The following is a 13,727-nucleotide window of genomic DNA, read 5'->3' on the forward strand; positions in this document are numbered from 1 at the left end:
GTGCCTTGAACGCGGTGGCCCTCGGCACGGCAGTACGGAACGACTCCCAGATGGTTCCGCACGGACAAGGAGAGCAAAATGGCCGTTCAGGCCCGAGAGGCTGGGGTGCAGACAGGGGCCCTGGAGGGCCACAGGGGTCTTGTGCCATGGGGAGGGATGGCACTCTCAGAGCATGACACAGGGTGGGATGGCACTCTCAGAGCTGGGTTTTGGAATGCTGCTCCAGAGGGAGGAGGACAGGTGTGGTGGAGGCTGCAGTTCTGGCCCATTCAGGTGTGAGGCTGGAACTAAAGAGGTGCAGCGGACGGGGTGGGGGTGCCTGTGGGTGTGTCTGAGGGGTGCGGGGAGCAGGGCTCTGGGGTAACATTTATTCATTCTTGATACCAAATATTTGATGCAAACACATCCTACCCAGCTCCCTCAGAGGAGGGCCCCCAGGGGAAAGCGAGGGGGAGGCCCAGGGCCTGCTCCCCACAAATGGCCCCTCAGCCCTGTGCCCCCCAGGCATTGACTTCCTTTCCACTTCACAGACTCCCTGACGCTGATGTGTCACCCACGCCCTCATCGGGTTCCAGGTCACTGCCAGCTCAGGCCTGCCAGCTTCTCCCCTGGCTATCTGGGGCTATCTGCTCTCCCCTAATCCACAGAGCCCCCAGGAGCAACTGTCAATCATCAGGGTGTAACGGTAGAAATACCCTAAAGAGGTGCTGGGACAGGTGCTGCTGGCCCTGGGTACCTTGATGATGTCCAGGCCCGGCTGTGGGTACTCCAGGACCGGGAGCTGCTCGTCGATGTTCATCAAGCCGATCTCATCGGGGTCAGCGCCCTGGCTCACCAAGTAGACCACCTCCTGCAGCAAGCTGGTGCCTGGAGGGGAGAAGCCCCAGCGCGGGGTGCTCAGAGGAGGCCCACGCGCCCGGCCCTGTGCTCGGGTCAACACCTGCTGCCCAAGAAGGGGCTCAAGAGCCCCAGGTGGGGCCCAGGGCGACTGAGTCTGGGAAGAGGAGCGCGCCCCGCACGGTCTCAGCCTGAATCCCCCGTGCTGGGTCATGGGCCAGTCGGCTCTGATTCTCAGAGGGGCCAGGATGCTTCACAGGGCTGTTAGGAGAACAGAACAGAACAGAACCCAGCCCCTGTTATGGAAGTGGCTCAGGGGCTGTAACAGGTGGGTGACTCGGCCCAACCTGAGGCTGAACTTGGCAGTTTACGCAGGAATGATGGGTCGGGGGAATGACCCGCTAGCCAAGATGAGGAAATGACGTCTGCCCAGTATCTACTGAAGCTATATACACATAGCCCATGATCCAGGAACTATCCTGGGGAGACACCCAAGGGAAGCCAGTGCTTGTCCACCAGTACGCAGGTTCTAGAACAGTCTTGGCCACATCATTCATAAAGTCACTTGGAAACACAAATACCCATCAGCAATAGAATGAGTAAGTTGTGACAGTCACCATGGTGTACTACACAGCAACAAAAAAGAATGAACTGCAGACATAGCACGGCCAAGCCCCACAGATAGGATGTGACGGAACTGCAGACACAGCATGGCCAAGCCCCACAGACAGGATGTGACGGAGTCCTCCCACCCCAAGGCGCTCCAGGGTACAATCCTGTATGTCCCATTGGCATGAGGTTCAAGGATGGGCAAAACTCAACTATAGTGACAGAAGTGAGAACAGTGTTTATATTTTGGGTTGGTTACTGATTCAGAGAAGACACAAAGGCGATTCCGGGGTCTAGAGCTATTAACTGGGTCTGGTGGGAATTACATGGAAGCATGCTACATTATGATATGTGCTGGTTTCCATCTATGGCTCCTGGCTCATTATCCCCCCAGCCCTTATTACAGTCTTTTGTCATAATATTGGACCACTCCAGGCCTTAGAAGCAGGTCTCAGTAAACAGCATCTCTCTCTCTCTCTCTCTCTCTCTCTCTGACCTTCTCCTGCCCCCACCCCTTTCACCTGTTCCTTTTTCTCCCCAAGGCAGGCCATACAAACTGAAAATATACTTGAATCTTCCCCCGCCTTTCTGTCTTGGAGCTGGCTATGAAGAAACTCTCTGGGCTGGGCACAGTTACTCATGCCTATAATCCCAGCACTATGGGAGGCCAAACCGGGAGGACTGCTTGAGGCCAGAAGTTCGAGACCAGCCTGCGCAATATAGCAAGACATTGTCCCTACAAAAAATAAAAAATAAAAACATTAGCTGGGCATAGTGGCATACATCTGTAGTGCCAGCTACTCAAGAGGCTTAGGTGAGAGGATCGCTTGAACCCAGGAGGTAGAGGCTGCAGTGAGCTGTGACTGCACCACTGCACTCCAGCCTGGGCAACAGAGTGAGAATCTATCTCAAAAAACAAAAAGAAAAATTCTCTGACCTGCCTTTTCTGACTGTGTGGGTCATGAGACCCCCAGTTCAGAAGGGGAGGAAGGAATGTCGCACAGGCAGGCCTTCCTGGGCTCCCCACTCCGACTGACAGTGTTGGGCTCACAGCCCTTTTGTCCAGTCCCATTTCTACATGCTTCCACCATGCCTAGCCAATGAGGGTTCCATAAAAGGCCCAAGAGGACAGGCTTTGAGGAGCTTCCAAAGAGCTGAACACATGGGGGTTCCTGGAGGGTGGCTTGCCCAGAGAGGGCATGGAAGCTCCGTACCCTCCTCCATCCTCCACAGACGTCTCTTCCTCTGGTATTCATCAGAAGCCTTTGTAACATCCTTTATAATAAACCAGGAAATGTCAGTGTTGCCCTGAGTTCTGTGAGCCGCTCTGGCAAATTAGTCAAACGTGGGCAGGGAGGGTGTGCGAACCCCAATTTATAGCCAGTGGGTGAGACACACAGGCAAAACAACCTGGGGCTTGTGGTTGGCATCAGAACTGGGGGCAGTCTTGTGGGACTGAGACCTCGCCCCGTGGGATCTCGTGCTGTCTCCAGGTGGGCAGTGCTGGAATTGAACTGGACTGGGGGACATCCAGCTGGTGCTGCTGCAGGACTGAGTGCCTGCTTGCTGGCGGGGAGAAATCCCCAGCCTGTCCGCCACAGGAGGCCTCTGTGTTGACTCTTGTGTGAGAGCAGAGGAAAAGCGGTTTGAGGGCTTTTCTCCAACTGATACGCACATGTAAGATATAATTCAATTAAAAAGAGACAAATCACCTCCGCCCGCCAGTGGCCTGGTCAGCATAACCTCCTCTCCTAAGACTGTGGGGAGATGTGGCCAACGGGAAGAGCCTGGGCAAGCCCAGCGTGCCGTGCCATTAAAGGCAGGGAGAGGCCTGCGGGGGAGCTCGTGTGTGCTGAGGACACCCTGGCACTCACTCACAGGACCACAGCTGCCCACAGGGCTAGAGACCTATGGACCAATTCTCCCTCCTCACAAATCAGCCACGCGGCTGAGCCAGGCCTCCTGCCTGGGTCTGGGAACCGTCCCTCTAGGACAAACAGCACATTTCGCACTCAGGTCCGACGGCCTCCAGCCCAAAACCCTTCCGTAGCTTCCCAATGTTCACACACTCAGGCCCAGGCATTCAATCATTTACTGAGGCCCTCTGAGCTCTGCACACCTGGTGCGGGGTCCAGGCTGCACCCTCCTGGGCAGGGCCAACCACAGCACTCTCCGCTCTGCCTGTATGCTCCTCCCAGCCTCAGCCTAGGCACAGCTGTCTCAGAGCCCCTGCCCCTTCAAGTCGGCCTTTTCTGATGGCCGGGATCACCTGCAGTGCACACCCTGGGATGCACGGGACAGGCCCTCTCCTCCCTGCTACGGCCCAGGGGAGCAGGCACTGTGACCGGCTCCACACCTGGTGCAGGCAGGAGGAAGCGGGGCCCCGCCTGGACCACACATGGGGCTGACCACATGCACTGGTGCCTTGAGTGCAGAGTCCCATTCGAGGACCCTAGGGCCAGGCAGGACACCCAACCAGAAGTGTGCCGGGACCAAAGGTAACTCCCAGGGAGAAAGGCGGCCCTCTGCGCCTTCTCCAGCCTCTATTCCCAGGCCCAAAAACAGCTCCAGGTCCCCAGTGATTCTCAGTCATCACCTTGTCTGACCTCCCAGAAGAAACGGGCACAGCTTAACCCACTGTGGTCCCTTCATATCGGCGGCTCCAGTTTCTGCCACTGGCTCCTCATCTCCCCGCCCTGAACGTGGTGACAGCCCGGAGTGCAGCCCTGGTCCCCTGCCCCCAGGCCAAACCCAGGTCCACCCCTCCACACATCAGCCTCCGGGGCACATGCCCACCAACTCCAGTACCTCACCCGCTGCCCAGCGCCTCAGTGGGACCCAGCCAGCTCTGGGGGCAGCATCCAAGGCTGTCTCCTCCGCAGCATCCGCAGCCCGTCTCAGCAAGCAGCCCCTCCAGCTGACAGAGGCTCAGGCCGGATGGTGGCCTCACTGTGGCTCACCCGGCTCCTCTCCTCTGTCCTTGCCTCAGTGAGCCCCGCCGACCCTGCCGTCGGGTGTGTCCAGAGCTGACCCTCCCCCTGTGACACTGCGTCCTCACACCTGAACTGCTTCCTACGAGGGCTCCTCCCTGGCTCTCTGCTGCCACCCAGCTCACTCTGCCTTCTAGTCCAGGGGTCCCCAACCCCCAGGCCACGGGTCTGTGGCCTGTTCCGAACCGAGACGCACAGGAGGAGGCGAGCACTGGGCGGGAAAGCATTCCAGCCTGAGCTCTGCCTCCTGTCAGATCAGCGGGAACACGAGATTCTCATAGGAGCACAAACTCTATTGTGAACTGCACCTGCGAGGGATCTGGGCTATGTGGTCCTCATGAGAATCTAACTAAACCCCGATGATCTGAGGTGGAGCAGTTTCATCCTGAAACCATCCCCATCACCCACCACCTGGGTCCATGGAAAAACTGTCTTCCGCAAAACCACTCCCTGGTGCCAAAAAGGTTGGGGACCACTATTCTACCTGTTTTCAACCCAGCGGCCAAAACTGTGGCTTTAACATGGAAGTCAGACTCCACCACTGTCCACTGCCGCCGTCAGGCAGCTCTGCCTCCCACAGAGTCAACGCAAGGCCTTCACCATGTTCCACTCCCTCACCACCTGGCTCTCCCCTGAGCTCCCTCCAGCCTCTGAGCCCAACCGGCCCTTCCCCAGGCTGCCGACACTGGTGTCCCTGCCTGGAGCCTCCTCACTCCCTGACTCCTCCCTGCGCCTGCTCAGATGCCGCTCAGTCAGCACAGTCTCCTTCACTAGCTGTGGGACTAACTCCCGTCCCTCGCCCTGTCATGCGATTCCAATGTGCTATCTACCTGCCCAGAAAAAGCCTGCAAATTCTTTTACATGCTCTCTCCTCTTTCCACCTTAAGGACAGAGGCTGTTTTGTCTTGTTCTTTGCTGCACCAGGAGAGCCAGCATGTGGCCATGCTCAATTCATATTTCCTGAGTGGACCGACAAACGCTGGTTGCTGCATAGACACTGAGTAATCAGAAGGGGATGTGTTGATCAAGGAAGACTTCCTGGAGGAGGGAGCTTTGGAGCAAAGGCACTGAAGGAAGGAAGTGGTCTGGCTTGGTGATGGAAAACAAGCTCTTTTCAATACACACAAAGAACTTCTCAGCCCATGGACTCTCCCACCAACCTGAGTAGGAAGTACCACCATCCTCATGGCAGACGAGGCTAAGGCCAAAATGTGCCAAGGGTTATAGAACCAGGGTGTGGCTGCCTTGCCTGTTCCTCCTGGTGAGGACCATCCACCCAGCAGCTCAGGACAGCTGCAGTGAGGGGGTCTTTGTCCTTAGAAATCAGACTGTGGGCAGCGTCCCTGAAATGGGCCTCTCCCAGTGACATTTTCATCACCTATTTTTCACGTTCCCCACCCGTGCAGCCCCGCAGGCCAACGACCCAGACAGACCTTCTCTGCACGTTAAAGTCTTCTTACATCAATATCGGCCACTTCAGTTCCACAAGTCCCGTCCTCACCCCCATTAAATATTTATGCCAGAATATCAGCCAAAGGAAGCTCTTGACTCGTCAGGTCCACCCGGCCCTGTCCCCGTGGCCCTTCTCTCCAGCCTGCCACATCAATTTCCTGGTTGAACACCTCCTGACCTTACGTTTTCCAGCTTCCAGGAGAATTCAACAGCAGGTCAACGTGGGCATCAGGGAGGGAGGGGCACCGAGAACACACACCACGAAACACGCAGGGAACAGGCCCCGGCCTTCCTAGGGCATAAAGCCAGCTGGCAAGATGTGATAACATGATCAAAGAAAAATGGTCATTATACTATCTGGTCACTTACCCCATTCCAGGCACACTTCTAAGCACTTGGAACCAAAGATCAAACCCAGCTTTGAAGACAGCCCTAGCTCTGCAAGGCCCTCTGCCAGACGCCAAGCTGTGGCACCCAGCACTCCTCCCACTGGTCTCTCTCCATGCTCCTGGTGGTGCCCTTGGGCATGGGCATGAGCCCTGCACAGCCCCTCCACCCACCCTTGCTGTGGCCATCTGCACCCAGGGGCTCCTGAGGTCCCAGTGATGTGGCCCTGCCAGCCCTCCACCCACCCCCTCTTCTCTGGCCAGCCTCCCACCCCCTTCCAAGCCCAGCGCCCCAGTGGCCCAAAGCCTTCAACAGGCTGCCCTCTGCCTGGCCAGCTTGGGCTTGCTCTGTGGGTCACTGCTCGCAGGAAGCCCTCCCTAACAACACGCCTCTCGATCAGGTGCCCCTGCCTGGTCCCACAGAGCCCTGGACACTGTCCTAGCACACTGTCACGCTGTGCCTGGCTGGGGCAAGCCCTGTGAGGGCAGGGAACTGGTCTTAGTCACTGTTTTAGTTTCCTGGGGTGCTGCTGGAGATCACCCAAAACGTGGTGCCTTAAAACAAAAGAAACGTATTCTCTCACAGTTCTGGAGGCCAGAAGTCCCAAAGTCGAGGTGTGGGCAGGGCTGCGCCCCTTTCTGGAGACTGAGGGAGAATCCTCTTCTGCTGCTCTCCCCTCCACCCGCCTTGCCACCACCCTCCTAATTCCTGCCTGGCGCTCTGACCCCAGCACAGGTACCCCCACCCACCCAGCGAGCCTTTTATTCACTCAGCAGAGGGCTCACTATGTGCCAGGCTCCAGGCTGGCCCAGGAGTCCCAGGAATGACACCATCCCTGCCACCTTCCAGAAAATGGAGGTGGTGATGCCCCTCCCTTCTTCACAGAGCTGCTGGGGTCAAAGGAGATGACACGCAGAAGGGCCACAAAGTGACCTGCTGAGGCCCAAAGAGAATCAATATAAACAAATGTCAACTCAGCAACTGAAATCAAGATGGGGCACCAGCAACAGGGCCTGCTCCCGTGCAAGGACACGCCACAGTCTCACAGCAAACCTGGCAACCCTCATCCACAGCACAGGACCGGACCCTCCTGGGACCTACCGATGAAGCCACACACCTGGAGCAGGCAAAGCAATGCCCACAGCCAACCCTGTGGTTCCCTCCACTAGCCTCGAGCAGGAGGGTCCACAAGCACTGCCCTTACTGACAGGGAAACAAGGCACTGGGAAGTGGGGGCCACGCCTGGAGCTGGAGTCGCTTCCCAGCAGGGCCAGGTGGGGCCAAGGCAGGAGTGAGAGGTGGAGGAGTCCTAGTGAGGCCTGTCATGTTGCTGTGGGACAAACAGGGGGCATGGGGCTGTGGCCACACTGGGCCCCTTGCAGAGCAGTGAGGGCAAATACACCGCTGCCGAGGTGGGGGCCTGGGAGGGCACCAATCTTCCTCATCACAGCTGGGCAGCTGGAAGCCAGCCCAGGCCCCAGTAGATCCACCCTGAGTGGGGAAGAGTCAAGCTTTCAAACAGAAACCAGGGGAGCCAACAGGGCAGAGCCACCTGCTGGCCAGTGACTCGAGCCAAACGCTCTCCAGCAGCTCTTCGCAAGTCGGCTGGAAGCAGTAATTCACAGAAGTGCTTCTGCTGACACCACTGCAATCACTTCTGAGTGGCAAACCGATCAATACCCCCTGCAGCAGCGAGCAGTGCACAGTGACACCTGGACTTGGGTCGAGGCCTGTGGGAGGCCACTGCTGTTCTGGGGTGGAACTCCCCAGGACTCTAGGGCATGGCCTGTCTCAACACCGGGCACAGAGCCCATCAAAATTCCCACCAGAACTCACAGAAAGCATCAGAACTGATCAGAATGGCCTGGAAACCACTAGGACCCTGTGGCTGAAACCCTCTGATTTTCACTCACAGGATTCACCAGTTGCACCTGTGATAGGGACAGGGGGCAGGGAAAGATGGGGCAGAAGACGGCAGGTCCCCAGCAGGGGTCCCACCCTCAAGCCAAAAGGCCTGATACCAAGACCCAAAGTGACAGCTTACATCCCCGTTTTCCCGCTCAGATGTTATCTCTTCCAAAACCACTCCCTGCCCCCAATCCTGTGCTTATAAAAACCCCAGAATTCAGCCAGCAGAGAGAGAAAAAGTAACTGGACGTCAGAGACTACGGTTGGACATCGGACAGAAGCAGTGTGACTTCAGAGGAACAGGCTCATGGTGTAGCTTCGGAGAGTCTGGCCAGGGATGGCCAGACTCCAGGGGAAGATAACCTTCCCACTCAGTCCCATTTTCAGCTCCCCTTCCCGCTGAGAGCCACTTTCATCAGCAATAAAATCCCCCACATTTACCATCTTCAATTCGTTCATGCAGCCTCATTCCTCCTGGATGCCAGACAAGAACTCGGGTGCCACGAGTGCAGGTGCAAAAGGCTGTCACACTGACCCTTAACCCTCGCTGGCAGAAGGCAGCCGCCTCACATGAAAAGGCAGAGGGGCCCACTGAGCTGGTAACACTTAAGCCCCGACAGCTGGGTTAAAAGAGCACTGGAAAACTTCCTCTGAACCCCAGGTGCTGCTGCGGGGCTGGTACAAAGTTTGTTCCTGCCTCGCTCACCTGCGTGCTCCCTCCCTGGAGGGTGGAACGAAGGAGGTTTGAGTGAGTGGAGTCCACCCCTGCCAGTGCCAGAGCAGCCAGCTGACTCCAGCACTCGTGTACTCCAGCTCCCGCCTGCGAAGCAGTCGGGAAATGTCTGGCTTCACCTGCACCTAGTTGAAAAAGTCAGTCCTGTAAGGCACAAAGACCCACGGTTCTCTCCTCCTCTAATCCCACTCCCCGGAAGGAGACCTTTGGTAGATTATTTTTACCCTCAAATTTCCAAAAAGTGTACTGATATCATTATTTTATGATCTGCACATTTTAGATGGGCTAATGATTTTCGACTACGAAAGATGAGGACTTAGCCAAGTTCCCTTACTCACAAGCTTCCCTCCTGCCGATACAGTCGCAGCACGATTTTGGATTTAATTCAAGGCTTAATTTGGTGTTTAATGCAAAGTACACCATGTAGTGATTACATTTCCTCTTCTGTATTCTATTTCACTTTTCCCAGAGTAGGTAACTGCCTTAGTTTGCTTATTTCATTTTCTATATTGCTATTAATCATTCCTTCCACAACTCTAACAAGCCTCAACGTGGCCAGAGACATGGGTGGGTGTTCGCTCGATCCTGTTTGCTGCTTGGGGACATGCCCCTGTTCCCTCTGCTCTCCCTCCCTCATCTGAGTGAACGGCCTGGCATGGCTGCACAGGATCTTCCTGGACCTCCCCCTACCTTGGGTGCACTGGTCCTTTCTCCACGTCCCCTGACTGCAGGTGCCCGGGCTGCTTCCTGGGCATGTGAGACTGAGGTGACTGCAAACGTCCACATCCACCTCCCATGTGAGGGACAGTCTGGTCGGGTACAGAAGCCCAGGCTGGAGATCGCTTTCCGTCATCCTGTCTTCTCACTGCCGATGGTGCCGCTGAGATCCTGGGGGCCCATTTTTCTCTCTGTGGGAGCTTTGAGATCTTCCCTTTGCCCCAGTTTACTCATTCACTAGGCCAGACAGTTGGCAAGGGTTGGGGGTGTCTTTTATTGAGCTCTGAACATTCTGAAAATCTAGCTTCAATAATTTTCTCTCTTCCGTACTCTGTTCCCTTTCTGGAACTCCAGGATTAATCTTCCATTTTTCTTATATTTTTGCTCTTGTTTGTCACCATTTTGTAAAAATTTTTATTCTACTTCCTGGGCTATTTTCTCAGCCTGACAACCCAAACCTCACAACTGTGCAATTAAAACCTCCACCATCACACTTTTCATCTCCAGGAGTCTTTGATGATCACTCGTTATTCCAGTCTTCACTGCTGGTTCCTTTAGTGAAAGCAACACGTGTCTTGACGCTCAGAGGATACTGCAAAGACTTATGAGTGGAGGTGGTGTTATTCTGGGTTTTTAGGTTTTCTTCTGCTCCTCACATGGTCTTTGCTTTCTCGGAGTTCTTTTTTCTGCTTTGTGTTTTGTCTCTGCAGATCTCTATCCTTCCTGTTGGAGACTCGCTACCTGGTGATCTTGAGTCCACTCACAGGTGAAGGAGAGACCGTGGGAGCAGCCCTGGGGGTCACACGTGCCTGGGGGAGCAGCCTTGGTGCTTTCACAGCTGAGGACCTGTCACTTCGGTGGGAGGTACAGGGCTCTGCTTTGGGGTCAATTTCTCAAAAGAGGGTGCCTCCAACCCCAGCCTGGAGACTGGAACCAGGTCACAGGCATCCTGAGAGCTGAGGAGAGGAGGGGCTGGTAATCCCACCCTCCAAGTGTGCAGCCTGTGGGAGATCCTACTTCCCACATGCCCTGTGTCCCAGCCTTCAGCTGTCACAGGACCCTCACATCACAGCCTCTCTGGTCCCCGAAGAAGAAAACTGTCTTGGTGACAGCCTCTAGTTTCCATCCCCAGTGTCATGGACACCACCTCAGCTGCTTCCTGGGCTGGGCTGCTGGAATTCGTTCCCACCTGGCCACCCTCACGACTGCGGCATTCAGGCTCCCCGCCTGCCCAGTGAGACAGCACTCAGCCCTGCCTGTGATCTTCTGGGTTTCTAATCCACCACGCCCTCCTCTCCTGCTCTGGGAGTTCAGAGCTTTCTATCCCTTTATTGTCACTTTAGTGAGGTTTCAAGAGGAAACAGACACCAGCGTGTGTGTTCAGTCTGCCCCACTGAAACACAGCCCCCTACAGGGTTCTGGAGTCCCGGGATATCCACAGGGATGCCAGAATCCCCCAGCTCCCTGAGAAACAGCAACAGCTAGACTTTTTTTTGTTTTTGGAGGCAGGGTCTCTCTCTGTGGCTCAGGCTGAACATGGCTCACTGCAGCCTCACCCTCCTGGGTCCAAGGGATCCTCCCACCTCAGCCTCCTAAGTAGCTGGGACCACAGGCACACACCACCACACCTGGCTAGGTTTTTTTTTGTTGTTTTTTTTTTGTAGAGATGGGGGTCTCCCTATGTTGCCCAGACGGTCTTGAACTCCTAGGCTCAAGCAATTCTCCTGCCTCAGCCTCCCAAAGTGCTGGGATTACAAATGTAAGCCACCACGCCTGGCCCACAGCTGAACTTTTAAAGGGGCAACCCATCAGGGCCAGGCAACAGCCCAGGACCTGGGAGCTCCTGCCCCCATCCAGGTGGGAACTGCCCCCCAGCAGACACTGAGAATGCTCCCCACCTCCAAAAGGAAAAGGAAAAGGTGAAGGACGTCTGTTAAACGCCTGCTGCGGCCAGTCCTTGTCCCTGTGCTTCCGCACACTGTCTCTCAGCTCTCAACACAATGCCCTCGACACAGAGCACGACGGGAAGCTCTAAGAGGAAAAGTAGAGTTCCTGGTCACCCGGCTGGCAACTAGATGGGGAACCAAGACTTCCGGAGCCCAGCTCACAGCACCAGCTGAGGACATGCTGACAGAGACCCAGGAGCTCGCTACGACTTCCCCCTTGGGTCTCACCCACCTCACTGGAGCTGCTATTACCATCCAGCTTCACACAGGACCACACAAGTTCAGGGATGGAATGTCCAGGGCCACAGAGGCCAGTGGGCAGTGAACCCAGCACCTCAAACTTTCGCTCCAGAACCAGAGTGCTTTACACACCCATCAGACACACAGACACACATGTATACTCACGCACACCACATACATAACACACAGACCACACACACTCCTCCAAACACAGCACGCACACACACACCAGACACAGACCACGTGCACTCACACTCACTCCACACACAAACACACAACACATGCACACACACCACACACATACACCCACACACACTACACACACACAGCACCAAGGCTCACAAAGCAAGTGAGCAGCGAAACAGGGCCACGTCCCATGTGTACTCACTTGCGGGCTAAATCTCTGACCATTTTCTAGCTACGATCAAGCAAGGGTGAAACAGATGGGGCAGTTGCTGGGACTGACCTCCACCCATGACAGTGGCAGCTCACTTCTGGGCCTGGGACCCTGGGAAACGAATTGCAGCCATCCCCACCCCACCCCTGCCCACTCTGGGCCACGTCCACAGCCAGACCCCTGCTGGATGCAGAGCGGAAACAGGCACAGTCACTGGCCGTGCCTCCCTCCTCCTGCTGGGGTGATGCCAGGCAGCTGTGGCATGCTGGGTTCCACAGTCAGGCCTGACCAGTCCAGGAAGCTCCGGCAACCCTGGCTTGGCCCCAGCCTCTGTCTGATGAGACTCTGACCTGGAGACCAGATTCCCAGCCTAGCTCTGCCAGTGACTCTGGGAGGCCTGAAAGTCACCGCTCCTCTGGGCCTCAGTTTCCTCAAAGTGAACTTCTCCTAGGCCTTTAGCTCTTCTGTTCCGGGTATACAACCCTGAGGCTGCCAAGAGGCTACCAAGAGGCTGCTGCACCTTCAGACAGAGCTGGCACAGCAAGCAGAGCGTGGCTCCACCCCAGGGAGAAGAGGCTCCGCCCCAGGGGGCAGAAGCTCTGCCTCAAGGGGAAGAGGCTCCGCCCTTGTGTGAGAGAAAGTCAGGGAAGGCTTTTGTAAAAAAACAGCCTTTGCAATGGGACCTTAAGGATGAGGGAGAAACTAGTTGTAAGAAGCTTTGGGGAAAGGAGGCTCTGGTGTGCGGCATTAAGGGCCCCAGTTTGCCCTCATGTAGCACTCTCAAGACATCAGTGGTGGTTTGCCCTCATGTAGCACTCTCATGACATCAGTAGTGGTGATGATGGTGCGGACAACAATGGCAGACAGGGCAATGACCCCAACACATGCCCCATGCACATCTTTGCCGCGGGACTTCACGGCCCCTCATAAAGGTCCTGCTCTGACTCTGGGCACGACCATGTGACATGGCCAACAGAGACCTTTGCATGTCTCTGCTTATTCTTCTGCACTTCCACTGTCGCCAAGAGAAGGCCATTGGCCCAGGCTAGGCTGCTAGTCCCAGGAAGAGAAAAAGAGGTGCCTGGAGCACAGCTGCCCCCGCCAAGCCCAGCCCGAAGCAGGGATCTAGTCAATCTGCACACACGGGGGACAGTCTGGCCAAGACCAGCTGGGAAAGAATCAGGGCCTTGCCCAAAATCAAAATTCAGACCTAAGTCTTTATAACTGGTCCCCTCCTCCAGCAGAGCCTACCAGTGCCCACCTACACCCCTCAGCTGCCCTAGAGGTCACCTGCAGCGCTGGTGAGGGCTTCTGACCTCAAGCACCTGCACCTGCTTCCCACCTGGCCACAGAGGAACAGGCCCAGAAGTGCAGGGAGCCGACGCCCTGAGCCACACCCAACCACTAAAGGACAAGAGTTGGCACCTGCCCCCCACACGCCAAAGAAGGCTCCTGGCTGTGTTCATGTCGTCTCTCAAGGGATCCTGGCAGGCTGAGCCCCAGGGTTCCAC

At 56.1% G+C, this 13,727-nt stretch overlaps 1 protein-coding gene across 6 annotated transcripts in view, besides 2 other annotated features; it reads right to left on the bottom strand.

Annotated features, from left to right (window-relative positions):
* Positions 1 to 13,727, bottom strand: part of SULT4A1 (sulfotransferase family 4A member 1) — a 38,005-nt gene that overhangs the window by 16,557 nt on the left and 7,721 nt on the right. For 4 of the 6 annotated variants that reach the window (XR_937839.4, NM_014351.4, XM_047441321.1 and 1 more), the window contains exon 2: positions 737 to 867. The exons of the other annotated variants lie outside the window; for them this stretch is intronic. Coding sequence is in view for 3 of the 4 variants with exons in the window: in NM_014351.4 (NP_055166.1) it covers positions 737 to 867 (131 nt within the window). In the remaining variant the exon portion in view is untranslated. The remainder of the gene's footprint in view (positions 1 to 736; positions 868 to 13,727) is intronic. 6 annotated transcript variants of the gene reach the window in all.
* Positions 4,046 to 4,871: an enhancer, noted in NCBI's record as "H3K4me1 hESC enhancer chr22:44240991-44241816 (GRCh37/hg19 assembly coordinates)". NCBI's record gives its function as "activates a minimal SCP1, AML or CMV promoter by ChIP-STARR-seq in naive H9 embryonic stem cells {active_cell/tissue: H9 hESC(naive)}" and the evidence as "EXISTENCE:reporter gene assay evidence [ECO:0000049][PMID:30033119]".
* Positions 10,690 to 11,189: an enhancer, noted in NCBI's record as "H3K4me1 hESC enhancer chr22:44247635-44248134 (GRCh37/hg19 assembly coordinates)". NCBI's record gives its function as "activates a minimal SCP1, AML or CMV promoter by ChIP-STARR-seq in naive H9 embryonic stem cells {active_cell/tissue: H9 hESC(naive)}" and the evidence as "EXISTENCE:reporter gene assay evidence [ECO:0000049][PMID:30033119]".

Source organism: Homo sapiens, chromosome 22, assembly GCF_000001405.40.
Source record: "Homo sapiens chromosome 22, GRCh38.p14 Primary Assembly".
Classification (NCBI taxonomy): domain Eukaryota; kingdom Metazoa; phylum Chordata; class Mammalia; order Primates; family Hominidae; genus Homo; species Homo sapiens.